This window comes from Homo sapiens, chromosome 9, assembly GCF_000001405.40.
Source record: "Homo sapiens chromosome 9, GRCh38.p14 Primary Assembly".
Taxonomy (NCBI): Eukaryota; Metazoa; Chordata; class Mammalia; order Primates; family Hominidae; genus Homo; species Homo sapiens.
In genome coordinates this window covers 125529466-125556541 of record NC_000009.12, presented here as the reverse complement: position 1 = coordinate 125556541, position 27076 = coordinate 125529466, and the positions used below count along the sequence as shown (strand labels likewise).

The 27076-nt window shown below is 40.6% G+C and overlaps 1 protein-coding gene and 1 long non-coding RNA gene across 7 annotated transcripts in view, besides 1 other annotated feature; one reads left to right on the top strand and one right to left on the bottom strand.

Moving 5' to 3' along the window:
- The window catches only part of MAPKAP1 (MAPK associated protein 1), a 269815-nt gene that overhangs the window by 150667 nt on the left and 92072 nt on the right, over nt 1–27076 (top strand). For all 6 annotated transcript variants that reach the window (NM_001006621.2, NM_001006620.2, NM_024117.4 and 3 more), the window contains one exon: nt 13374–13483. In NM_001006621.2, coding sequence (NP_001006622.1) covers nt 13374–13483 — 110 coding nt within the window. The remainder of the gene's footprint in view (nt 1–13373; nt 13484–27076) is intronic.
- On the bottom strand, nt 14104–18259 carry LOC124902270 (uncharacterized). Its single transcript, XR_007061774.1, has 2 exons — nt 18178–18259; nt 14104–15407 (listed from the first exon to the last, which is right to left on the bottom strand). It is a non-coding gene; the product is annotated as an uncharacterized LOC124902270 (long non-coding RNA).
- Nucleotides 26152–26311: an enhancer, noted in NCBI's record as "active region_29008". NCBI's record gives its function as "activates an Ori minimal core promoter by ATAC-STARR-seq in GM12878 lymphoblastoid cells {active_cell/tissue: GM12878}" and the evidence as "EXISTENCE:reporter gene assay evidence [ECO:0000049][PMID:35858748]".

Here is a 27076-nt window from a genome sequence, read left to right as displayed (position 1 = left end):
GCATATGCTATCTCACTTAATCCCAAAATAGCCCAGTTTTTATGAACAATTTAGAGGCGTGGAACCTGAGGGTGAGCAATATTGTTCTTAGGCCTGGATTTGACGCCATCCCTGACTTTAAAGTCCATGCCCTTTCCAACCCTCTGCTGAAAGATTGAGGCTGGGGAATCTGGTGTTGGTTTAACCTGTGAATCTCACTGTCTTAAGGCTGACATTCAGCCACTGCTATAGTGCAGTAGGTGACAGCATGGTGGGCTGTGAGCCAGATCGCTTGGATGCCGATCCTAGCCTTGCCCTTACTAGTGTGTGTGGTCCTGGATGAATATTTAACTTTTCTGTGGCTCAGTGAAATGGAGATAATAATACCTACCTCACAGATCAGTTATGAGGATTAAATGAGTTAATAGATCTGAAGCACTTAGAACAGTGTTTAGCATATGTACGCATCATCTTAGTGTTAGCTGCTGTTATTGTTACTATTAATAAACAACCCTTGGAGAGCAAGAACTGAATTATCTGTGCCCACAATACTCACCATCACTCCATTACTGTGATAGATCTGTCACACGTATTTCTTGAATGGGTTACTGAGTAGATCTCTGCCACTTCTACATTTTTCTTCTCCGACTTTGTTTTATAGCAGAGGAGGGGTAGTGTTTAGGTGGACATTGCTCAGCTGGACTGAAAAAGCTGAATTGGAATAACTTTCAGTGAACATGGGCAGTGGGTAAACATCGAGGATCTACATACTTTCAAATGAGTCCTCTTATGAGCACACATCCTCTGAGTTAGTAGCAAGACCATTAACTTCTTGAAGACTAGGAAGGCACAGTCTTATTGTCTCTCTGTATCCTGAGCACCCAGCACAGGGCTTCATGGAGAAGGAATGACTGAAACTTCAGGTGTCTGTGGGCTGCCAGGAGGACACCTGACCCAGCAGTGTGTCCCACCTTGCTTTCTAAGACCTCTTCCCCTTTTTTACACCCGTTCCTGCCTTTCAAATACCAGGAAGCCCATGTCGCCTTCTGACCTTTAGAGGCCCTCACACCGGCTATTCCCGGGGCTCCAGTACCATCTTTCCCTCTAAGTGCGGCAGCACAGACTTTGAATTTAGGCAAACCTGGGTTCATGTTTCAGCTTCAATAGTATCTTGCTACATGCATGACCTTAGACAATTTTACTTACCTTTGTTAAGTCTCAGTTTCTTCATCTTTAAAATTTGGGTAACAGTAACTATCTCATGGAATTGTCATGAGGGAGTTTCTTAAATGTAAGTTATGTACAGAACTCTTTTAAAGGGAAATAAATTCTCCTAAAGTCTCAATGTTTATCCAAATGAGTTTTTTAATAATGCTACTTAGATACATGCAAATACAAAGTTCTGTAATGTTTAGCTATAAATTCAGTGTTTTTACACAACCTAAACAAAATTACAAACTAAATACAGATAAAATTATAACGTTAATAAAATACAAATTAACAACTTTAATGTAACAGATGATGTTTTGCTGAAATTAAACATTGCTGATGTTGGGTTTAATTGGGTGTTAAATGTTTTACTTGTCAACTTGAGTCTTTTGATTTTCATATGAGACATCACGATTAACATCCTTTTAAACAGTGTATTTTTAACTACTCGTCCATTATTTTAGTGGGCCAATTGATTTATAATGTGTCCCCCCACACAAACACATAAATTTTAAATGTTCTTTACTAGAAAATGCTTTTTTTTTTTTTTTTTTTTTTTGATAAGTGTCTTGCTGTGTGGCCTAGTCTGGAGTGCAGTGATGTGATCATGGCTCACTGCAGCCCCAAACTCCTGGGCTCAAAGGACCCTCCTGCCTCAGCCTCCCAAGTAGCTGGAACTACAGGCATGTGTCACCATGCCCAACTAACTCTATTTTTAGTAGAGACAAGGTCTCACTGTGTTGCCCAGGCTGGTCCTGAACTCCTGAGCTCAAGCAGTCCTCCTGCCTCGGCCTCCCAAAGTGTTAGGATTACAGGCATGAGCCACCGCTCCTAACCTAGAAAACTCTACTTTACGTTTGGCCCACCACGCTTTCTGTTAGTATGATCAGTTTGTGATGGTTTGTCCAGGACTCTCCCTGTTTCAAAACTGAAAGTCCTGAATCTATGAGCACTCCCTGATGCTCACCTCCAACCCCTTCCTCCATCCTAGGTAAACCAGATTGGTCACTCTACTTTATCTGTTGCTTGGTCTATACATAAGTGGGCTCTGCCTGACTGATACTTGTGTATAGTGTGACTTGGCACCAAACAGCACAGATTTTTCAGAGACCAGCAAGACTGTTCATAGAGATCTTTGTGCCCACTGAATTCTGTCACCATTTTTCTCTGTTCAGCAAACAAGTTCTGTATGCAGCTTGCAGTAATGCCATTTGACTTTTACTAAGTTTGTTAGTTATGTTAAATAACTCTAGCTGCTGGAACACATAACCCCCCAAATCTCGCCACGTTATCCTAGGGTTGGCAAACTTTTTTTTTGAGATAGGGTATTGCTCTGTCACCCAGGCTGGAGTGCAGTGACATCATCTTGGCTCACTGCAACCTCTGCCTCCCAGGCTCGAGCAATCGTCCCACCTCAGCCTCCCAAGTAGCTGGGACTACAGGCATGCACCACCATGCCCAAATACTTTTTGTATTTTTTGTAGAGATAGAGTGTTGCTGTGTTGCCCAGGCTGGTCTCAAACTCCTGGACTCAAGTGATCTGCTGACCTCAGCTTCCCAAAGTGCTGGGATTATAGGCTTCAGCCACCGCTTCTAGCTCAGCAAACTTTTTCTGCAAAGGGCCAGATGGTAAATATTTAGGCTATTGGCCATAGAGTTTCTGTAACTCAGCACTGCCATTGTAGTGTGTGAGTAGCCGTAGACTACATAGACAAATGGGCATGGGGTAGGTTTGTTGGTCAACTTCTGGATTTTCCCAATAAGTTTCTTTCTTTCTTTCCGTCTTGCCCTCCCCTCCCCTCCCATTTTTTTGGGTAGAGTTTCACTCTTGTCACCCAGGCTGGAGTGTAATGGCGTGATCTTGGCTCACTGCAACCTCCGCCTCCCAGACTCAAGCGATGCTCCTGCCTCAGCCTCCCGAGTAGCTGTGATTACAGGCACCTGCCACCATGCCCTGCCAATTTTTGTGTTTTTAGTAGAGATGGGTTTTCGCCATGTTGGCCAGGCTGGTCTCGAAGTCCTGACCTCAGGGGATCTGCCTGCCTCTACCTCCCAAATCCTCCCCTGGGATTACAGGCATGAGCCACCGCGCCCAGCCTAATAATTTTATTTCTTGTTCACATTTGTCTGATGTAGGCCAGGTGACTCTCTTGGGTATTTCTCCTCTAGGCAGTGGCTCAGGGCTCCCCAGGTGGGTGGAAAATGGGGAACATGGAAGATGAGGAGTGAGGAGGGGCCTATATCTGTATCTTTATCTCATACACCCCCCCACACACACACAGTGACATATATAAAATATGTGGTGACACATATAATTTTGCTTTTAGTTCAATGAAAAGCACATATAGATATATATAGCTACACATCCATATCATACATATATTGATATGTATAGATAATACATCTCTATATGCTTTTCATTGACTAAAATCAAAATTGTTTTTAATTTAAAAAAATTTTTAGAGACAGTGTCTCACTATGCTGCCCAGGCTGGACTGGAACTCTTGGGTTCAGACAGTCCTCCTGAGTAGCTGGAACTAGAGGCTCACATCACCGTTAGAAAACAGGTTTTTAAATTCTGAAACTTAGTCTGTAAATTCATCTGTTGATTCCTGGGGGCTCTTGAACCTCAGGAAATGCTGCTGTGATTATTAATATTAGCTGAGACTCTGGCATGTAGGAAGTGTTACATAGTTGCTATTGTTATTTCTGTCAGGGATTCTCAGTGGGAATAATTTACACTAAGGTGAGAATGGGGTTTAACCTTCCTTTGAGTTATTTTTTATTATATAATTAATATGTGTCCATTATAGCAAAATTGGGAAATAGATCTGTTTCTGCATATAAAAGAAATTTTTAAATTTGTCTTCATTCCATCATGCAAAGGTTGTGAATTATATTTTATAATTATTTACATTTTTTAAAGGGGAACTAATTAATGAATTTCTCATTGGAAAATTATTCTGTGGAGGGAACGTGAAATTGGATGTCTTCTGATGTTCTTACTAAATCAGGACTAGATCTATCTAGCTTTCCCTCTAGAACCCCTGGGCCCCAGGAATCCCCTGGATAGAGTTGTTGTTCAGGGAAGGAGAATGGATTATTCTAACAACTTGCAAATTAGGAGCCTGGTAATGGAAACTGCCTCTTTTAACAAATCTTCAAGTGGATTCCTAAGCTATCCATTGTTCCTGATTGATTTTGGACAGAGCAAATATATCTATAAATGGGAATCCCTAACTTGCTGACTACTTTGAGCTTAAGCAGTAAAGATGTTTGGATATCAGTAGTGTCAGAGAGGAGAAGTAGGGAGTGGGAGGAATGGGAAGGTTTTTGGCTGACCCCCAAAACCAGATAAAGAGCTGGAGCTCAGATAGTGCCCAGCATCTCAAGAAGTGTTTCTTGCCAGCAGTGACCAAGCCAAAGCCTACTGTTCCTTTAGACAAAGTAGGACAAGGGAGAATGAGATCTTGAGTGGGCTAAGTGCCTCTCAAGGATAGGGACCTGCCTTGTTCGTCTCCTTCTCCCATTCCCAACACAGACCTAATTTAGTCAGAATTTGTGAGACTGAATTGAGTTCAAAAGTGGCAATGACAAAAACAACTGTGGTAGTATTATTACCTTATATGTGTTGACATTAAAGTTTCATGCCAGGATTCTACTCTGGAGTGGGGGAAGAAGGGCATTAAAGGAAAAAAAAAAAAGTCAAGGCCAATAAAATGGTCAGAATCTCCTTAGGTTAGAAGTCAGAGCAGTTAAACTGTCTCCTATATATATATGTATTTTCCTTTAAATATTTGATATATTAGAGGAACATGAGGAAGGAACAGTTCTAACCAAGAGCTCTTTGGGTAACAGCTGTCAGGTAACAGTGGAAGGTCTTAGCCCAGAAGCTGGGCTGCCTTGGGCAGGCTCCCAGAGACTACCTTGGCTTCTCTTGGCTCTGCAGAAAGGGAACGATGAGCTGCTTTTTTAAAGAGGCGTGCCCTAGGTTCATTCATGCTCTTTACTGGGCTTTTCAGAAGAGTGGGGAGTTTTAGTTTACCTTCTTGATGATAAATCCACAGTATACCCCAAGTGACCAGACCTTTATTAAAGGGTGTCATTAGCTTGAAGCCTTTCCTTCTGTTATATGCTATTGCCTTGTGGTCTAGAGAATGAAAAAAAGAGGAGGGCAGGGAGAATATTTTCACACACTCATTCAGTTTCATACCTCCAATAGATGCTATCTCATTTATTTCTTTTTTTATCATTTATTTCTTTTTTATGATATTTTAAAATTGGCCACACCCCATCAGTAAAGTTTCTTATACGCAATTCACTTTTATAATATGTAAGCTGAGGCTCAGAGACAGGTAGTTAGTTACTAATTCAAGGCCATGCTGTTTGGTAAGAGGCAGAGCTAAAATAGAATAAGGAATAAAAGAAGATGCTTGTGTTCTTTGTAACCAGGCCTGACAAAATGAGTATAAATTATCCTGGTTATTTATTGTTTGCTTGATTCATAGAGGACCAACTGTGTGTTGTTTCTTTTCATTCTGTTGTATTAGCAAACATTTTCATTGTCCAGATTGTCCTCGTGTATGGAAATGTAACATATGCAGCCTGTTTAATTTTGTATTTGTAAATCTGACTTGATTTCCTTTTTGGCAACAGCTACTGTCTAGAGAAAAGAAAGGATTTTTCTTTGTGTCTGTTTAAAGTGACAGAAATATTGGAGCAAGTGATAAAGATGGAAAGCATTAATTACACACTTCTAAGAATTTAAAGGTCAGACAAGCTAAATATGTATGTTTTGCTCACTGGAATGTCTTGAAATTGTGCCAGGATTCGCTTTGTTCCTACCATAAAAGCACACATTTTAGATAACCATCAACTTACTTTGTATCTAAAAATTATGCCAGATTGTTGCTTTAGTTAATATGTGTCTTCAAAGTCGGGGAGCTCCCATTTCTGAGCCCATGTGATTGGTTTGGTGATGCTTCCCCCTTTGGCCATGTTTAGTTACTATGTCTCATTTTGATTTCCTCTGTTCTCCCCTCAGCTTATGTCGGAGTCTGTCAGCTGCTGCTATGTACATGTCAGGCTAGTGACTTGGAATGTTTATTAATACAATGTCAGTCTTGCTGTTGAAAAAAACTGTGATGCTTCTCAGAAGGTTGTGATAGAACGAAGCGTTTGATTTCCAGATCCTGTCTGCACTGCATGGTGAATACATTCTCAGATGTTATGCAGTTCACTGACCTGACAGTTATGGAACCCCGCCTGGGACCCCATTTCAGCAGGACATATTTGAACAGAAACAGTTTGCAAAACTTTACACACTTAAACTCCTGCCAAGGCAAACTGTTAGCCACTTGAGTTTGTTATAAATACCCAGTGGCAGTGGTTGGAAGTAGCCCACGGTGTGTTTTATATTCTGAACGGAATGTGAATGTCTTTGCAGTTATATAGAGTAGTAAATAATTGAGTTTGATTAGGGAGAGGGACCTCATTATCCCCCACCTGTGCCCAGCTGGAAGGGGAGGGTCGAAATGAAGCCATTAGCTGTCTCTCTTACTGGCATCTCAAAGAGCTCAAATACATCTGTGTCTTATTTTCTTTTCTGGCACAATCAGTCGAGCAAGCTAAGCAGGCATGACCGGATTTGGCAAGTCCCAAGGACTCTGGCAAAGATACACAAGGAGAAGGCGGAGGGCAGTCATTTTGGCTTCTCACTGCCCATTAGTCTAGCGAGTTATGTTTTTGGAAAATGTCTGTTTTGAAAAAGAGTACTTTGTCCAATGTCAAACATCGCATGCTCCCACAGTACGCTTTGATCTTTAAAAAAAATTTTTGGTCAGTCTAAGGGGAAACAAAATGTGGCATTCACACTAGTGTAAACTCTTTATGGATAAAGTCATACTCAGAGGACTTATTTTAAAGCAGGCATGCTGCAGTTATTACAAGGCCTTCTCTTGCTCATATATTTTCATTTTCTACCTTGAAATGCTGGAGAATGAACATGCATGGAATTGGACCAGAGCAGGTTGGGAACTAGAGTGTGTCTTCATCACTATTGGGAACTGGTCAGGACCAGAGACTCGAGAACTGCTCGTAGCAACCTTTTCCCACTTCTGCAAACTGAGACTGTGGCTTTTGAAACCATGACATTCTCCAATGTCTCCTTAAAAATCCTGTAGGTCATATGGTTAGTCTAAGAGTCTGGACATTCATAGTCAAGCTGAATTTGTTACAGTGGAAGTTGAACCTTTTCCACAGATTGGGTCAGTGGTTCCGGTATGGAAGATGTGCTCCCTGGAAGTCTCTTCTTTCCCCGAGTCCCTAAGACTCCCTTTGCGGCTGTGGAGGGATTAACAAACACAGACTTGGGAGTCTAGCTGATCTGGGTTCAAGTCCTGGCTCCTTCAGGACTTATTAGTTATATGATGTATTAACTTATTATATAACTCCAGACAAATGTCTCAACCTTGCCAAACCTCAATTTTCTCTTTTATAAAATGGAACTCATAATAACACCTATCTTTTCTAGGAGGATTAAACAAAGTAAGTGCTCAATAAATATTGAATATTATTGTCTCATCATTATATATTACTTCATTGTACATATGAAGAAAATGCTTATGCTTATTATATATTAACTGTTTATTAAGCATTTATCTTTTTTTAACTAATGGCTCATCTATAAGCATTTATTATATGACAGATATTATGGTAAGTACTTTAGAAGTATTTTGCCTTTACAACAATCTTAAAATCCAAGAATAATTATCATCCTCATTTTGTAGATGAGGAAATGAAGTTAAAGTGATTATGTTGTTATCCGTGAAAGCAGAGGTGGGGTTCCAAACCAGGTCACTTTATTCTAGAGCTTACTGTGCTCTGCTGCCTTCTGGTGCTGCCACCGTCTCTCCTAGCATGGTTTAGAGCTAAATGATGTTTGCGTTTTGAGACATCATCCCCACTAGGAAGCTTCCCGGACCCTCTCACCTCTGTGTGGCTGGGTTACGTGCCCTATGTTTGTTTTGGCAGCACTCTGAACTTGCCTCCACCTTTGTGACTGTCACACAGAACTATAATTGTTTGTTGACTTCTTATCTTTCTCTCCCACTGGACTGTGCAGCTTGGGTTAGGGACCACATTGTTGATTTCTGAATCCAAAACAGGATTTTTAATAGATGAGTGATCTCAGGTAAATTCCCTAATGCCTTCAGCCTCAGTTTCTATAAAATGGGTGTAATAATTGTACCTATTTTAGGATTGAATGAGTCAATACAGATATTTTTTAAAAAGCTTAAAACAGCACCTAGCCCATAGAAAGTGTTCAATAAATAGTAGTTGCTGTTATAATTGTTAAACAGTGGACAACTTGTATTGTGCAAATCAAAAAGTTCTTAATAAATGTTGTTGAAATTCTCTACACCACCATGATTTTTTAATTTCCATTATCATCATGCAAAGCCAGTGAATTAAGTTGAGGCAGAACATACCTGCTTCATAGTTAACACTTTCAAAAAGGAAAGTTTTGAAAACAACCCAGAGTGCTCCCCTTGGAGCTCTTGGGAAATTTTGGTGCTTGGGCCACAGGCTACTCACTGATAATGCCCCTGAATATGGCCACCAAGCTCAACAAATCACACATTTTAATGCCCCTGTGTTACCAATGACAGGCAGTGAGTTTTGAGACTCCCACCCCCCGATAAGCAGTCTCTGCTTAGGAGGCAGGGGAAGGAGGGGCTGAAGTGGGGCCTTTTCTCTTGGAATGATGACTTAGGGCAAGGGGAACAAAAGAGAACTAACGTCGACTCCCTTTACTGTTTGCCAGCCATAGTGTGAGGTGCTTGGCATTCATTGTCTGTTTCATGCTTGTGACAATTCTATAGGGAAGTAGCCTACTCATTTCATGGATGCGGCTGAGGTTCCCACATGTTACAGCAACATCTCCGTTAGCCACGGAACCAAGATTTCGGTCAAAGGGTATTTAACCCCCAGCCTATGCCCTTTCCTCTCCAGTATGCTGCCTTCCAACTTGAGTTCTGGTTCCAGCTCTGTTCCTAAAGATAGAATCTAAGCTTTTCAGATGAAGACCTGTGTCCCTGTGGGCTCCGTGGCTCCCATTGCCTCTCGCTTACTGCTTAGTACAGAAAGCCTGCTTGCGTTGGGTTCGTGCTGGCATACAAACTTTTTTGGGGTAACTGAGTGGCTGTGCGCTGGGACGGAGCTGAACTCCTCAAGCAAGGAGTCTCTTTTTAAAATGCCCATACATCGTTCAGTGGTTACGAGACTTGACAGGACCTAACTTTGAATTGACTGAAGCACTCCTGGCAGTGTTTCTTACGCTCCCTGACATGGAGTTTCACCCTAGACCCAGCATGGACAGCCCAAGGAGCCGTGGGAAGGGCAGCTGCTGCTTCTCAGTGTCCCTAGAATGCCCTGCTCTGGGGGAAAACAGGTTGTCTGTCCCTGAGGCGAGCAGGAGGAGGAGCGGTTTCTGAGCCGAGACTTTGAGTCTGTGTGTAGCCTGCCTGTTCATCCGAGGGCTGATCACCCCGCCACAGCTCCTAACCCAGAGACTGGAGCGTGTGCCACAGGGAAGGCAGGCCAGGACCAGGAGCACCCTTCCTTTCCTGCCCACTACCAGCACTCCCCCCAGGACCATTGTCTTCTCAGCTTCAAACCCAGCATCCCACATTAAGTAAAGGCTTTAAAAGATGTATTTCAGTAGACTTTTTAGAAAGCCCATAAAAAATCCTGGATATAAAGAAATGAGGCATAAAACCCAGAATGTTTGGAAGTCAAGCTGAAAATTGTGGTGGCAAGTCTCCATCTCCACTTGTTAAATGGGAGCATAACTTAACACTTGCACCTAGACGGAGGCTGAGAACCACTTGCATTCTATGCTCTTACGTTTTGGAAACATATGAGGGTATTACTCAAAAAACAAAACCCTGCCCATCTCCCCCCAAAGCGCTGTAGACGTGGAACAAGATCCAAAGTTGGCATTCGTCTGGAGGGAAAGGAGCGGAGCGTGGGACTGACCTGAGGAAACTCTTATTAGGTCTGCCTGAATGTGCAGCACTCAGGGCAGAACCTCTTTCTCCTTTTAACGTGCACGTTTTTACGGAAATGGAGCCCCAGAGTAAGATACTGCACACTCACGAAGGTCCATTCCGAGGGCCGTGTGTGCCCCTTCCCTTCGCTGTTGTTTTCATTTTCCTCTCATGAACCTTGCTACCCTGGCTTCAGCACGGAGGCTGTAAAGGAAGATGGAGAGCCAAGTTACCTCAGAATGATCACTATCGTTAACATTCACGGGTGGTTCACTTATCATTCCTGACTGCACAGACATGGCAGCCGCTCGGAAGCGTCCGCAGGTGTAGCATGGTGATACATATTACATTGTGCCACAATGGATTTATGTATTCTGTAACAAAAGAAAAGTGTAATGAAAAAATACAGAAGGTAATCCTTTATTCCTCCACCACACAATTTATCAGTAATGCCTGTGGATGATAAGTGCCAGGGATTTCCTCTGCTTGCTTTAACCTTGTCACCCAGGTACGTTTTGGTAAAATGACAGAAAAATACAGACTGGGGATTTTCCTCTGCTCAAAAATCTTTTAAAAGGACACTTTTAATTTATGGAAATTAGTCCAAACACAAGGCTTCCTTTTGAGCTTTTAGTCTGCCTTTGCTGAAAAAGATAAACGTATTGGCTGGAAATAATGCTGTCAGCCGGCAGCAGATTAGGAGGGAACGTAAGCAGTTTCTAAGCAGACTGAAATCTACAGTAGTTCCTGTAGAACCAGGTGGATGGCAGTTCATGAGGTCCAGGCCAGTACTAGTTTGTGAGTACCCGAGAACTTGTGTTCTCTTTTAGGCCCTACTCATCCATCGCCCAACATATTGTCACAGATGGAGCGCATACTGACTTCTGAGGAGAAAGCAAGGGAAGGCAAATCTGAACGTGGTTGACTGGCATTTGTTCCAAACACACACTGGCCTAGCGCCAGAGCAAATACCCCCAAGTTTATAAATGCACAAGGCACTTTACGTTTCAGTACTCTTGCCAAAGTATCACTTACTGCATCGCTCCCTAAATATAGTTTTTTAAAAAGAGCTTTTTCTTATTTTGCTTTGATCAGTAAAATAAACTTTTAAAGATTGTTCTGGGATGCGGTCCAGCTTCTGAGGTAAAGAATGGCCGGGACTCAGGCATGATTCAGTAACAGAGTGTTCAGTAAAATTAGCTTGACAGTTCTCAGGCCTGCTGTTCAATAGCAAGAACTTGACCAAGTTAAAATGGATGATGGTGCTGGCCAGACCAGCATCGGCTTTTGCTTTTTAACAAATGGAATGTCAAGGATTAAACAGCAAGCCGTATGGAGAGGAGGGTTGTGGAGATGTCTCTGTATTAGGGAAGCAAATTAGGTCCTTGGTTTTGAGATCGGCCCCCAGCCCCTGTGGAGAGTCAGCCACCTAGTTGGGTCCAACCTAGGCTTAAGGCCCTTCCCAGCCTGTCCTACCATTGGGAAGCTTTTCCAGAACTTAGCTTGGGGCTTGGCTTTTCTTTCAGATTTCTCGTCAATATGAAGTTCTGCCATGTTTTTTGGCCACATTCCCTTTAGAGATTCTTATGGAGAAATGGGAATGCGACCAAACTCCTTGTGGCAATTCCCATGTTCCATAGTTGGAAACTTGGGTCCCGTTTGTTACATGAGCTACTTGGAATTGGTCTGTTTTGTTCCAGTGCCCAAGTGTAGTGAGTAGTATTTGTGATACTTGCTATTGCAATTAACAGTCTTGGTGAAGTTATACCTCACACAGGAGATGGGCTTCTGTTTTTAGAGTACTTGTTCCTTAGCGGTTTTTTTCCAATCTAGATGAAGCCTTTCCCCCACCCAGTTTGATTAATTGGAAGCTTACAAGGAGTGTAAGTGTTTTGTCTTATAATTACTTGTGCTTCAGCTAATATTTTGACTTTCTAGGACTAAGATTAAATCATTCATACTGAAGTGTATAGACTGTATTTAAAAAAAAAAATACAGCCAGGTGCGGTGGCTTATGCCTGTAATCCCAGCACTTTGGGCAGCTGAGGCAGGCAGATCACAAGGTCAGGAGTTCAAGACCAGCCTGGCCAAGATGGTGAAACCCATCTCTACTAAAACTACAAAAATTAGCCAGGCACGGTGGCAGGCGCCTGTAATCTCAGCTCCTGGAGAGGCTGAGGCAGGAGAATCGCCTGAACCTGGGCAGCAGAGGTTGCAGTGAGCCGAGATTGCGCCACTGCACTCTAGCCTGGGTGACAGACATCTCAAAAAAAAAAGTGTGTGTATGAATAAAGAAATATATTTACTAGCTAGTTAGAGCATTTTCTTTTCCTCCTTCTCAATTACTTTGGGGTATTACTGCCCTGCGGCCCCACATGACGTTTTTTTGTCTGGGGCTCCATGAGCTTAGTATGATGGCAGTATCTGCCTGTAGTGACATCTACTGACACAAGCCAAGTTTATCAGTTGTCAATCCTTGTTGCAAGATTTGGTTTGGAAGCCAACACTAGGAACCCATGGTGCTGCTGACCCACACAGACCACTTAGGTTCAACTTGGACAAATTAGAAGAACCTTCCCTAAGCGTGACCTCTCTCACATGGAACTGCTCACGCTAGAATCGTTTATCACTGCCCCCCCGCCACCCACCATTTGAAGTATATTTATTCAACCTATTTTTAAATAATTGGCACCTCAGTATGCACTTACTTTAAAACTTGCTTAAACACGGCCGGGCGCGGTGGCTCATGCCTGTAATCCCAGCACTTTGGGAGGCCGAGGCGGGCAGATCACGAGGTCAATAGATCGAGACCATCCTGGCTAACATGGTGAAACCCTGTCTCTACTAAAAAAAAAAAAAAATACAAAAAATTAGCCGGATGTAGTGGCGGGCGCCTGTAGTCCCAGCTACTTGGGAGGCTGAGGCAGGAGAATGGTGTGAACCCAGGAGGCGGATCTTGCAGTGAGCCGAGATTGCACCACTGCACTCCAGCCTGGGTGACAGAGCGAGACTCCATTTCAAAAACAAAACAAAACAAACAACAACAAAAAAAACTTGCTTAAACACAGTGAAGATTGCAGTAACATCTCTCTGGATGAATGTTGGTGATGATTTAATATTTGTCTTTTCCTACAGAAATGCTGCTCATGGATTCTCCCTTATTCAGGTGGACAACACAAAGGTTACCATGAAGGAAATCTTACTGAAGGCAGTGAAGCGAAGAAAAGGATCCCAGAAAGTTTCAGGTGGGATAGTTAAATCATATTCTCACAGTAGTAGAAGCTTAACCCTTATTAAAAGGGCATAGGGGGTGTGTGTGTGTGATGGCTGGCTAGATTCTTTCAGATGTCATTGCTAGAAGGTTTGGTTAGCTGATCTATGCAAGAAAAGGTGATTGTACACTGCCCCTCGGCCTCAGAAAGGGACTGGGTCAGCGGCATATGTGAGAAGAATGTATTCATATCAATTGTGGAAGTTCCTTCATTAATAATTTGTGGTAGACTCAGACAGAGCTACTTGTGCTGATGATCAGTTGATATAAAGCTGTCTTGAAAACCGAATCAGTCCTAAACTTGAATCACTGCTATTAATTTCATGTTTTCACATAATTTCCCATGGGAGAACTTTTAGTTACTAATATTTGTGGTATGGGGAAGAAAAGAAAAATTTCTCTTCATCCTTATCAAATGAGGGCAACCTTTAAAAAAAAAAGACGAATAAAAAGACAAATCACTTGATGTGCACTAATAACTTAACTCCTCATTACCCAACTTTATATAGAAAATATGCTTATAGTATTAGCTGTGATATTTAAAGGATATATACCAGGATTGAGAAATAATCATCTTGAGAAATAGCTCAAAGATTTGTCATATCACAGACAACTTTAATATAAATCAACTCATATATGACGTGTTGAATATCTTAGCTCTGTAAATAAAGAGACTTCTTAAACACCTTTGATTTTACCTTTTGGAAAGGAAAAAAAGCATTGCTGGGGTTGAAGAAAATAGTTTTGTGCTCTTTTTAAGGGGAGGCATATAATCTGTTCCAGATTTAATTAGCTATCTTCAGATGAAAGCTGAAGTTTTAATAAAAGTTAGAAGAGATAACACAGTGAAGGACACGGATGAGCTGTCTCAAGGCCATATTCCAGGGGAACGATAAGAGCTGTAAAAAATGGCAGAGGAGAGCAATTGAATGGAGCAATGAAAATCTGATTCTCATAAAAAAGAGAGAGAGAGAGAGATGCTGGTAGGGGCGGTTGTAGATGAGACCTGCTAGCGTCTGCAAGCAATTTGGATGCTTGCCAGGAGTCATTGTTCACCCTCGGCTGTGGCGGCTCCGTCCAGATGTGCCAACTGCACGTTTCGGCTTTTGCCAGCTGACTGCGCCGTTTGATAACCAGCTCTCTGGATGCCCATCACTGGCCGCAGAGATAGAATTAAATGATGATGATCTTCCCACAAGTTGGGAGAGGAAACAATGCATATAAATCTTGATTTCATCTCAGCATGAGAAGTCTTTATCCATCATCACTCATAATGAACAAGTCGTTAGCTGGGATGAATGGTGTTCTGGTTTTTCCAAACACCTCTTTTGTTCATTTTTTGGGTGACTTTTATCCATTGCGTGGGGGTCAAACTTCTTTGCATTTAGGGGATGATTGAAGAGGCACAGCCACTCCTTCCCAGTGAAAAGTGGATATTTTGGGGTTCCAGGTGCCAATCTAATAGCTTTTAAACAGCTTTAGATAATCAAAGATATTTAGTAGGCATTCACCCTTTCGGATCCTGGTTCTTTACTCTTGTTTTGGTCCCAAATATTTTATATAAAAGTATATTTGTGATATAATGCATTATATTCTAAGAAGGCCTTATTCTGAAGTGTCCAAGGAGAAGGTGAAACTTTTTTAAGCTTCTTAGTAGAAATTCCACTGTCACAGATTTTTCAGACCATGAAACTCCTATGAACTTACTTAGATACAGCTGAGCAAGTATCTTTCCTTCTGTCTCCCGTCGTCTCTGTCCAATTGCATACCCGTTTTTCTATGTCCATTCCCAGCGTTTATCATACACACATTTATTTATGTTCACCTTTGTGTACACATTACTGCCTTTTCCATCAGAGTCTTTGCCATATCCTTGGCAAAGAGTTAGGACTCGTTATCTGAAAAACAGTGATCTGCGTTATTTATTCCTTTTCATACAAGAGAAGCCAATTGAGATTGATACATTTACATAAATTACTGTCCGTTTTCTTAATCCAAAAAGCTTTTTAACAAAAGAAGCTCTTTCTGTAGCTTTAATAAGTCTGGTCTCATAAAACAGAAGGATCTCCAGTTTGGTAAAGATATTTGTTTAAGGTTAGGTTGGTAAAGGCAGGGTACATCTTGTGTTTTTGAACTTTTTAGACTTTTTTTTGGAGAGTGATTAATGAAAAGAGGAAAATCCTCTTGTCATAGAAAGTAACACATAGAAAGTACTTAAAAAATTGTTGGTGTTCACAGTTGGCTATGAAATACCTGTTAGTTACCCATTATGACGCATGAACTTAGTCATGAACTTGGTGGAAAGAGATGCCAGGTTAGAGGCAGTCATCCTGCACTTCCTGAGCCTCTGTCACAATGACCAGCTTAGTGTTTGCAAAAATGTGCCTACCATGCCCCATGTCTGGGAACAGAATTAGAGTGATCATCCCTGTCGTCAAACCCCTTTTACCTGATTGAGTACAGAACAGCACTTGTCTCTTTGCTACCCTTACTGAACGTCAGTGAAGAAGGGGGGAAATACCAGTTCAAATCAAAATACACATGCCATGTAGAGTCAGTAGTTATCACAGAGGTTAGTTGTGCTACAACAAGATTTCAGAAATCCTTTGATAGGCTGACAGTGAACTTGTTCCTTGCCCACAGACATTTCTCTTCTCTTACCTTTTTTCCAGACTGACTACACAACTGTTTGTCTGATAATAATAATAAATTTAGAACTTAAACATTTCATTATTAAATCAAAATGTAGGCCTAATGGCAGTCCTAATGTTTGCTCTCTTGTCCTTCAGTCTGGCACTCCTTCCCCAGTTTTCATTTGTGAAAAATCAGAAGGTGGTAGGTATTTGCTTGAGCAAAGGAACTCTTCTTTGTTTAGGTAAATAGCTTTGCCAATTGAAGCCCTTAGGGTTTCAAAATCATTTTGCTTTTTAGGATAGACTGTCATTTACAGACACTTGTAACTGACCTAAAATTTTGATTTGCATTATTTGTAATTATTTCATCAACTCAAAACTATGAACACTGCATGGGTTTTTTTTCTATTAATATTCATATGAAAAGAATATACTATAGTAGTCTTTTCACAGTATGTTTCAGTCAATTCTCTGCTAAGGTCTATTTTTTATGCCTATTTTTAAATGTCTCTTTTAAAGTTTCTCTTCAGCCTTTCATTTTTTTTTACTGACCTACTTGACATTTGGAATGTACCTGCATTGGCAGGAAGTCCCTACTATTTAAGAAAATTGTAATTGGAGAATCCAGTTTTAGAAGAATTAGATGAAGCCTCTTTACTCATGTTAACAGTTAGGTGGGTGTGTTTTTGACATAGTAAAGAGTGGCTTGTCAGGTCCCTTGATTTAGGCAGCAAAATATACTAAGCTGTTATTTAGTGAATAAAGGCCTTAATTCAAGTTCTCCCTCTGTCAAGCTTACCCTCACAATCAGTGACCTTTGTTGTTATTTAAAAATGCGGTTAACCATCAGCCCTTCCTAGCCTTCTGAAGCATTATGTTGGGCATGACAGACACATTGCTGAGAAATAGATCAATTTCAATGTTTAACATTGACACAGAAATATAGATACCTCTAGATCTACAGAAGAGAGAGCATCAAAGTGGGGTTTGCTAAGCAGAATAGTTTTCCACATAACTTGTCTCAGTAGTCTCATTATGAAATAGAGGTGATTTTCTGTATTATCTGTGGAAAGATTGAACAGGAGCATCTTAACTTTTTCTTATTCCTGTCCATTCTTTTGATATGAAAGACAAATTTTTATTAGTCTGAAGATTCTTTTAAAAAGTTCTTAAAATATTGTTAATAAGCCTAGTGACATTCATTCCTACTTTTATAAAATTTCACGTAGAACTTGAAAGAAAAATGTTAGCTTTGTCAAGTGGACTCCCTCCTAACTCTATATCTGTTTAGAATTACAGAGCACCTTATTGCTTGCTAATTTACTTTGTTTTCACAAGACCCCTAGAATGTCACCAGTGAGATAGTGTACGGGGCTTCTCAAACATTATTCCGCCAAGTACTACTAGGAGCAGAGGGGGAGTAAACATGTACAACAGGGTTTGGGGGTTCTGGTCTGAGGGACAATGATGGCATCGTTGGACTCTTAAGTTGTATCTTAAAAATTTCATGTAAAATGTAAATATCGATCCATAACGTATCTGTAGCTATGTCGTACATTCACTTATGTGCTCCCCTGTGTCAGACCTAAGGATGACCTTTTTCTAGAGCAAGAGTATACATAAGAGGCTGAGAGGGAGAATAATAGGATGCAGGGGAGCTCTCTGCATCCTATAGGGTGTTTGGGGAGCCCCTCTCGGAGAAATTGACATTTAAACAATGACCTTCACATTTAAGCTATGAACAGTTTAGGAGTAGGGCAGGGACAATGCCAGTCAAAGCAGTGGCTTACCATATTTTAATGTAAAAAGAACATTTCAGATTACTTTGCAGTTTAATTTACTTAACCCCCCACCCCACCAAAAAAAAAAATTGTAGTAAAATTGACCCTTTAAGGGAGATAAAGCAGGTTCCCTGCACAGTAAGTGGCACCATCATCTACCCATTCACCTGAGCCACATATCCAGCTGTCAGTCTTGAATTTTTCCTGCACTGCCTCCCCACATCTTATCCATTAGCAAGTCTTATCAGTTTTACCTCTAGAATATATCCTGAATCCATTTAGTTGTCTTCGTCTCTGTTGGATGGGTCCAAGTCACCATGACTCTCCACCTAGACTGCTGAAATAGCACCCTGGCTGGTTTTTCTGCTTGTGCTCTTGGCCTCTCTCCAGTCTGTTGTTTACACAGCAACCAAAGAGAGATTTTAAAATATGAGTCAGAGCATATCTGCTCCGAACTCTTCAATGACTTTCAGTTCTGTATAGAATTAAATCCAAATTTTTAACCACTGTGAAATACACTGAGGCCCAAAGAGGATAAGAGACATACAGAGAGTATGAACACAAAGAAATAAAAGAACTTGAAAGAAATGGAGAAAAAAATACAGAGTTGATGATTGCCTTATGACAGAGGGATACAGATCAGGAAGAGACCCTGGGCACTCAAGGCCATGGGGAGGTGCGGAATTTAGAGCCTGTGACCCACTGTGGACCTGCTGTACTAGACTGGCTGCAGCAGGGTCAGTCTCCATAATACCACACACAGTAGGCCTTACTTTCATGCCAGATAGACTGAGAAAGTTGTATACAGATGAATTTATTATTTATTAAGTGTATTTTAGTCAGGCACAGTAGCTCACACCTGTAATTCCAACACTTGGGAGGCCAAGGCAGGAGGATTGCTTGAACCCAGCAGTTTGAGACCACACTGGACAACATAGTGAAACCCTGTCTCCACAAAAAATTTAAAAAATTAGCCAGGCATGGTGGCACATGCGTGTAGTCCCAGTGACTGGGGAGGCTGATGTGGGAGGATTGGTTAAACCCAGGAGGTCAAGGCTACAGTGAGGCATGATCACACTACTGCACTTCAGCCTGGGTGACAGAGCAAGACTCTGTATTGGGAGGGGGAGTTATTTTAAAGGGGATTTGTGTGCCATGGGAGGAGTTGGTCTTTCCAAAAGGAGGACCCCTTCCAACGACATGGGAGCTAATGAATGGAGTGCCTTGGTGTACCTAGAAATATTACCTCATTTAATCTGTACAACATCCCTGGAAAGTAGATTTTATTATGCCTGGTTTGAAGATGAGGCTTTAGAAATGTTAAAGGAAAAAAGAGGTGCATCTTAGAATTAAGGACCTATGGTAACTGTATATGTAATGATGTACTTCTCTGAGCCTCACTTTCCTCAGCTCTAAGAGGTTAAATGTACCCAAGTTTCCTTAGTAAGTAAATGGTGAATCTAAATTGGAGCCCAGGCTTTTTTGACCTCAAAGCCCATACTCTTTTTATTTGTACCATGTTGCTTATTAGAACCCTAATGGGAGAACAAATTTAAAATTCTGTAAACAGAAATGTTCATTGATTCTGAGATCTAAATGCACGAGGGAAGTGCAGCATTTAAAGGAACCCTGTGGTGACTCTGGATATAAAGCCAGGAATTCTTTTTGTAATTGCACAATTTGTCTGTATTGGTGTCAGTTTTAATGTTTTATGTCTAGCTTTCTTAAAGCAACATACACCTGTCCTAAGCTGCCCTGTGGAAAAGGGAAACCCATATATATTTTAGATGGAGTAGGGTTTTTAACACCCTTCTAGCCTGAAATGCCCTCTGAAGGCTAATGTAAGCTAAAGAATCTTCTGGCTATAGGGTTGAACAGAGAGTCCTACTTCACATGCAATTGGTACAGAAAATCCAGTATTCTTTCTTCTATCAAAGTAGAGTTTGTAAGCCAGGGACACAAATTTGTGATTTCCTTATGCTGTAGCAGATAATCCTTAAAAGAATAAACACTGAATGAATGAATGAATGAATAAATGGAAAATAGAACTGTTTAAGTGATCTTTGTCAAAAAGCAGTAAATTCTGCAGAAAATTATTCCTCCTTATGGAAGAATAAGTAATCATGCTGATGCCACTCATGCATAGGGGATGAATAGGAAACAGAGACCTGACACTCTATATCCAGTGACCTATTGGGAAAATGCTACAGTAAATTAGGGCTGCTAAAGTGTTTAAATGTGTGACTCAGAAGTGCCCCGGGCAAGGAGCTCCGACTTCAATATTCCTGCCTGCCTCCTTTCTCTGCCTCTTTATCTTACTGTTCCATCTCACCTGAGCCTCTCCCTGTCTGGAGTGCTCTGAGGCTCCTGATGGATCTTCCCAAATATAGAGTACAGCACGTTGAAGATAGTGGCATTGCAGTCAACTATTTTATCTAGAAAGCCTGGAAATTTAGAGAATTTATGTCAAGCAAAAATCTTTTGGAACCACTTTAGAGACCCAATTATTTTAGAAGGGTGTTATGAGCTCTCGCAACTGCCACCTCAGAAAAACTTGAAATATATCATTTGCCAAAACTATGTTTGACCAGCATTTACTCTTCCTGCTAGTCGCTAATCTTTCAGAAGTTCCTTTTCCATTATAAAATCTATTCATTCATATCATCTGGGCAGTCATAAGTGTGGATTCGATTAATGAAAAAGCAGACTGAAAGGAAGAAAAAAGACATATGCCCCAAGAGGCTGTGTGGTGGTATGGGAGACACACACACACACTTAGAAGTCAGACAGCCTTCTCCTGGGTTCACTAGGGTCTGATTCTAGAGCACCGCCAATTTAATAATAGCTTCTCAGGAAATAATTCTACATTACGTGTACATATTGATTGTAAACTGCATCCTGATTTTATAAATGTTTTAAAAAATGAAAATCTATCTCAGAATTAAGAAATTCTGGAAAGTGTATATGAGTGTAATGATGTACTTAACCTCTCTAAGCCTCGCTTTCCTCAACTCTAACATGGGAGAGGCTGAGTGAGGATTAATCAAGGCACTGGAGGAAAGGGCTATCTGTGCTCTTAAGCTCTGTGTGGCTCTGAGATGCCCTGTTTAGTTCATCTGTCATCAAATGCTGCCTGCTCTGTGCCATGCTGTCTGCTCTGTGCCATGCTGCACTGGAAATCAGGTGGAAAACCCAATGAGTACACGTAAAAAGAGGGATTAAAATGTGGTAAATTGTCAAGCAGATGTATATAAGCTACTAAAGCAGCACAGGTAAGGGAGTCCTACTTGAAACTACTGGGTTGGGTAGGGGACTGAGAAAAGATGCTCTGGGGTGATTTATTTGATGGCTCCTTGAAGATTAATTAGAACTTTGTCAGATGGGTAAATGAGAAGAACATTCTAAGTAGAAGAGACAACATGTTTTGAGATGTAGTCACAAAACATAGAAGTTCCAAATCATTGGAGCAGGAAGAGGGCAGAGGGTAAGCTACAGAAACTAGGCAGGGCCAGATCCGACCAGGCCAGGCCTGATAAGTGAGCTTAAAAATAGAAGTGCATTTATGTTCTGGGAGCTTGTTTTGTAACAGGCACTGTGTAGGCACTAAGAATTTTGTAAAGACCAAGAAATCGTTCCTACTCTCAAGCAGCTTTCTATTTAGTTGGGATAAGCAGGCAATTATAATACCATACAAGGGATACATGGAAGTAAGTATAGGGCCTGGGTGCACATGGGAAGCAGGGAGCCCTAGTTCCATCCTGGGGAGTCAGGGAAGACCATCCCAAGCTGAAATCTGAAGATGAATAGAAACTAGGCAGGTAAAGAGGGATGGGAAAGAGTGTTCAGGCTGCTGTGGTCGTCAGGGGCTAGGTCATGTCCGTATGTAAGCTGTGTTGAATATGAACTTTATTCTGATGGCAGAGGGGATCTATTGAAAGAAGGGCAATATATAATCAGAATTTCTCTTAGAAAACACTCATCTGCATTGTACAAATGAATTAGAGGCCAAAGAACATGAAGCAGAGACACCAATGCAGAGGCTCTCAAGAAATCTGTCCAACAGATAGTGGAGCCCTGAATTAAGGTGTGCAGAAGAGTAGAAGCTACTCATCGGGAAATGGAGGGATGGACACTATGGTAACATCTGATTTCTTTCATTAGAGCTAAATGCACAGTTTGGGAGAATTGAAATAGCTTTGATCTGTGGCCAGATCTCCTGGAGTTAATATCAAAAGAAGGTAGTGGCATTTAAAGATATTTTTTAAATAAAATTAAATACTTGTTGGGGAAGAAGCAAACATTTTAGAGATGTGTGAAGTAAAAAATGAAGGTTTCCTATAACTTCCTTTGGTGTAAATCCTTTGGGTTTTTTTTCTTCAGTTCACATACAGATATACATATAGGTTATACATTTCATGTGGACAGGATTCCTGTTTTTTGTTTTTGTTATTTTTAAAATCACTTACATATTCAACATCTGTCAAGGTACCTGTCAAATAGTATACTCAGTAAATGCTTGTTAAGTGAACTCATGAAAAATACATATGTGTTAAGGTTTTTAGGGTAATTATGTCACACAGCATATATGATATTGCATTTACTTTTTTAACTCAATGTGTCATAAGCATTATTCTATATTAGAGTGACCACACATTTTATCTTCCTAATAATTTGTTCAACTTAGCTCTCTATTGAAGGATGTTTAGATTATTTCCAAATTTTCAGTATTACAAAAACATGCAGTGAACAATCTTGTTTGAATATTTGTGCTAGATTGCATATTTGTGCTAGATTTTAAATATGGATTGCTTGTCAAATATTTATTTAAAATGTTGAGGAAAACAAATTGCCTTTCAAAAAGTTTATGCCTGGCCGAGCGTAGTGGCTCACACCTGTAATCCCAGCACTTTGAGAGGCTAAGGCAGACGGATCACCTGAGGTCGAGTTTGAGACCAGCCTGGCCAACGTGGCAAAACCTCGTCTCTACTAAAAATACAAAAATTAGCCAAATTAGGTGACAGGTGCCTGTAATCCCAGGTACTCAGGAGGCTGAGGCAGGGAGAATCGCTTGAACCTGGGAAGCAGAGATTGCAGTAAGCCAAGATCGTGCCACTGTACTCTAGCGTGGGTGACAGAGTAAGACTCTGTCTCAAAAAAAAAAAGAAAAAGTTTATGCCCATTCTTTGACATTCCAAGAGTATGTGAGAATGCCCTTTTCCCCAGCTCCTTACCAGCACTGAATGTTATCAGCCTTTAATTTTTGCCAAACTGATGGTTAGCAGCCAGTATCTCATTTTAATTTGCATTTCTGGGTCTTTAGTGTCGTTTAGTATTTTTAAATGTATTTATTAGCCATTTTATCTTTCTAAAAGATAGTTCTTTGGTCAGTCACGACTATTTTAATGGGAAAAAGAATTGAGAAAAAGCCTAATTTCAGAATACCATTTTTAAGATGTGCTCTATAGTTTAGAATACAGCTCGTCCCCACCTCACTTCCTGCCAAAGCAGGCGTGTATGCGTACACATACACACACACCCCATCATGTAGAGAAATGGATCACGCATCCAAGCCACACAGCTTCACTTGTTTGCCTGCTGGCCCTTTGAGCACCGGCAAAGCTTTTGTTTATATGTTCAGAAAAAGCTGTCTAATAATTTACCAGACTTTAATCCACCTCCTATTTGAGAACTTCTGTTACCTGATTGCTTTGTCATCAACACTAGTTTAAAAAACAGATTTTTAGTTAAATGTTTATTAAATACTTTAGTCTGGTACATGTACATAGCACTTAGAAAATGCATCATAATCTGGAAGTCACAAATATAGACAAAAACATTGTTACCCCTTAACCGGTTTATTTTGGGGCAGCAGATCTAAGGACACGCCTGGCAGCATTATGAACAGCAGTGGCACCAAGGGCAACTGTAGGGGGTTAATGTGGACCCTGCATCATTCCTTGCCATGTGCCTGGTGAGTAAACTCCTAGAAGTTTCTGGGAATGGTAGCAAGTGGGGAAAAGGCTGCAACCAACAATCAATGTCACAAAGTGGGGATGACTAATTTGCTGAGGAGGCCGTTGAGACAGATGTTTAATTAGCTGAAGTCAGAGTGGATAAATTGGGAGATTACTGCCTATGCAGAGAGATGCCTTTTTCCCCCTCATCTCTTTTGCAACTGCTTTTTGTGTGTGTGTCCTTACTTTTCTTTTTGAAGACAATATCCTCAGATTGGAGAGAGGTGGGAGAGAGGTAGAAAGTACCAAGGTAATGATTCCATTTTGATTACATCTACTGAATACTTATTGTATTCCAGGTATTTTTGTATTTAACCTTTACAAAAGACCTTGTGAGATGGGCATTATCTCTTTTTTGTGGTAGAAAACCAAGGAGATATATAAATATATAGAGAAAGAGAGCACATGGAGTGTGTGTGTGCACACTTGTATGTATTTCTAATGAGTAATACAGGTGAGATTTGAACCCAGACCCTTTGATTCTTGAGCCCAATGTTTTTTTTTCCGTACACCACAGCTTCCTCACTTAAAATGTAATGTGGATGAGGGAACTTTCTGGAGTAAAGCTAATCATCTGTATATTGATTGGGAATCTATATATTGACGGGAGCTGCAATTGCCAAGTGTGTACATTTGTCAGACTGTCAAATTGTATTTGTACAATTTGTGTGTATATTGCATGTAAATTTTACCTAAAAGTAAAAAGAAAATCTTAAACAAATATTGAGCTTCAGTTAATGCTATGTATGCTGAAGTAGTTCAGAGTGAATGTAGTAATGTCTCCTCCTTGATTTGAAATACATTTTAAAAAATGGATTGATAGATATGTGATCAAGCAAGTATTGTAAAATGTTGACTATAGGTCTAGGTGATGGGTATATGGGTTCTCAGTGTTCAGTTCTTTCAACTTTTCTGTGGTTTAAAAATACTCATAATAAAATGGGAAAACTCACAAAAATTAAAAATACATCATTTAGATACTGTTGATACTAATATGAATTTCTGAATGTACAAACATGTATTCTTGTAGCATAAAAAGCACTAGGTTATTTTATTGTTATTAGCTCGTCTGTTAAATAACATCTTTGAGGTCATAGTTTCTCCCATTGATCTGTGGTTTTAAGTTGCATTTACAGTTACAGGTATAATAATCACCACTTACTAATACTCACACTTGGCCAGGTGATCTGCCAGATACTTTTTTCCATTACACTTTAATCCTTAAAACAACTATTTGAATCAGTTGTCATGTTCATTTTATAAGTGAGAATACTAAAGCTCAGAGAGGTTGCAGGACTTGCTGAGGTCGCACAGCTAGTAGGGGAGTAAGGACTCAAAGCCAAATGGCCAAAGGTTGTACTGCTAGACACTGTGGTGCTTCCTTCTACTGGATAAGGTTACGGGGCCCACGGCTCAGTGGAAGCTGTTGCCTTTCTCTCTAGAGAGACCAAATGTCCCTGCTTCAGCTGGGGGTGGCAGCAAGACTCAGTGGAAACAGCATGGGCTTTGGAACCAAACCAACCCCAGTCCCCAGGCCACCTGTCCCTTTTACAAGCTGTGAAGTTAGGGAAGTCATCAGCCCCTTCTGACCTCAGTTGTCTTTTCTGTAAATAGAGGTAATAATACCTATCTTGCAGGGTTATTGTCTTAACTGAATGCATGTAAAACACTTAGTCCATAGTAGGCGCTCAGTGGACATCAGCTGCCATCATCCCTATTGCCACTATCATGCCAGGCACGCCATAAAACCTGGCTTTCTCTTTAGGTTTTGGTTTACTTCCTTTTCTATCCATATGATTTGGCCTTTGCCTGCACCTTTTGTTTTCCAGTGAATTAAGTCTATAGAAAGTTTTTACCTTGTGGTAGAATGAGCCTTTGAATTGTGTTTGAATTAGAATCTGCTGGAAGCACACTTTATTTTGAAGAAGGAGAAAACTAGACCCAGAGAGTCAACTCAAATGATTTTTTTTACTAATAAGTGAACCATACCATATATCTATAGGGATGGATTAATGGTCACAAGCCTTATTTATCAGATAGCTTATGTCTGCAAATTTAATTTCCTATGCCAAAGATTCTGGAAATAATGTGAACAAACTGTAATTGCCTGTAACAAACACATTTATAAGTAAGTTTTAAAAGTCTTTGTGTTCACAGTTTAGTAGCTCACAGACCCTGTTGCTGTTTCTCAGAAAACATTTAAAAGAGGAAGTATACTTAAATATCCATGTGATTTTGAAAATGAAAATGATTCTATAATTACAGACAGGATTAGAGTGTTGCATGTGCCCATTACATCTCTCCAGCCTCCATGAAGAGTCTCAGTCTGCACCAGAGGAAGCAGAAGTCCCTCTTTCTTCGGTCAGGCCATTTGATGTGTTTATCCTATTAGTAGCTGTAAGGAAAATTCTTCTCTACCAAGACTGATTTTAGCTACTTTCTATGAAAAAACCCTTGCTTTAGTAGAGTTACCCCACCACAGGAAACCAAGGGCCTGAACCACCCAACTCCTGTTCTGCTGCTTACAGAGGCCTGATACTGGAGCTGTTTTACTCCCATAAGCAATGTAAAAGGCATTTTAAACAACTCCAATAGTAATTTTGCATAGTTCTTTCTTTTTGAGTAAATTATAAGTAGTGGCACTTTCTGCCGCATATCTGCAACAGCTTTAAGTGCATTATAAAGAAAAGAAGAAAAATAGCTAGTCAGTAAGGGCATTTCTTTTTCTGCCTTACATGACAATAATGTCCTGAGACAAAGAAGACTTAAAATCAGGAAAATGGCATTGGATTAGCACCGTAAGGCAGATCTGGGGAGAGGACGTATCAGCATCTACCTCTCTGGTTACCTAGCTACTAATCACAGTATGGCAGGCAGCTAGGTGTGTAGATTCTACTGTGTCATCGAACCAATTTTTCAAACAGAAAGTCAGTGAGATGTGATTAAAGCCCAAGTGCTGCAAAAGATACAAGGTGGTCTATTGGAACTCCTCAATCTTCCTGGAAACTGTCACCACATAATCACAGAAATATCAAATCATAGCAAAACTTAAGCTTTCCTTTTCTTTTTTCGCCTTTTTTTTTCTTTTCTTTTTTTTTTTTGGCACACTACTTTTAATAGCAGAACAGTGTGAATTAAG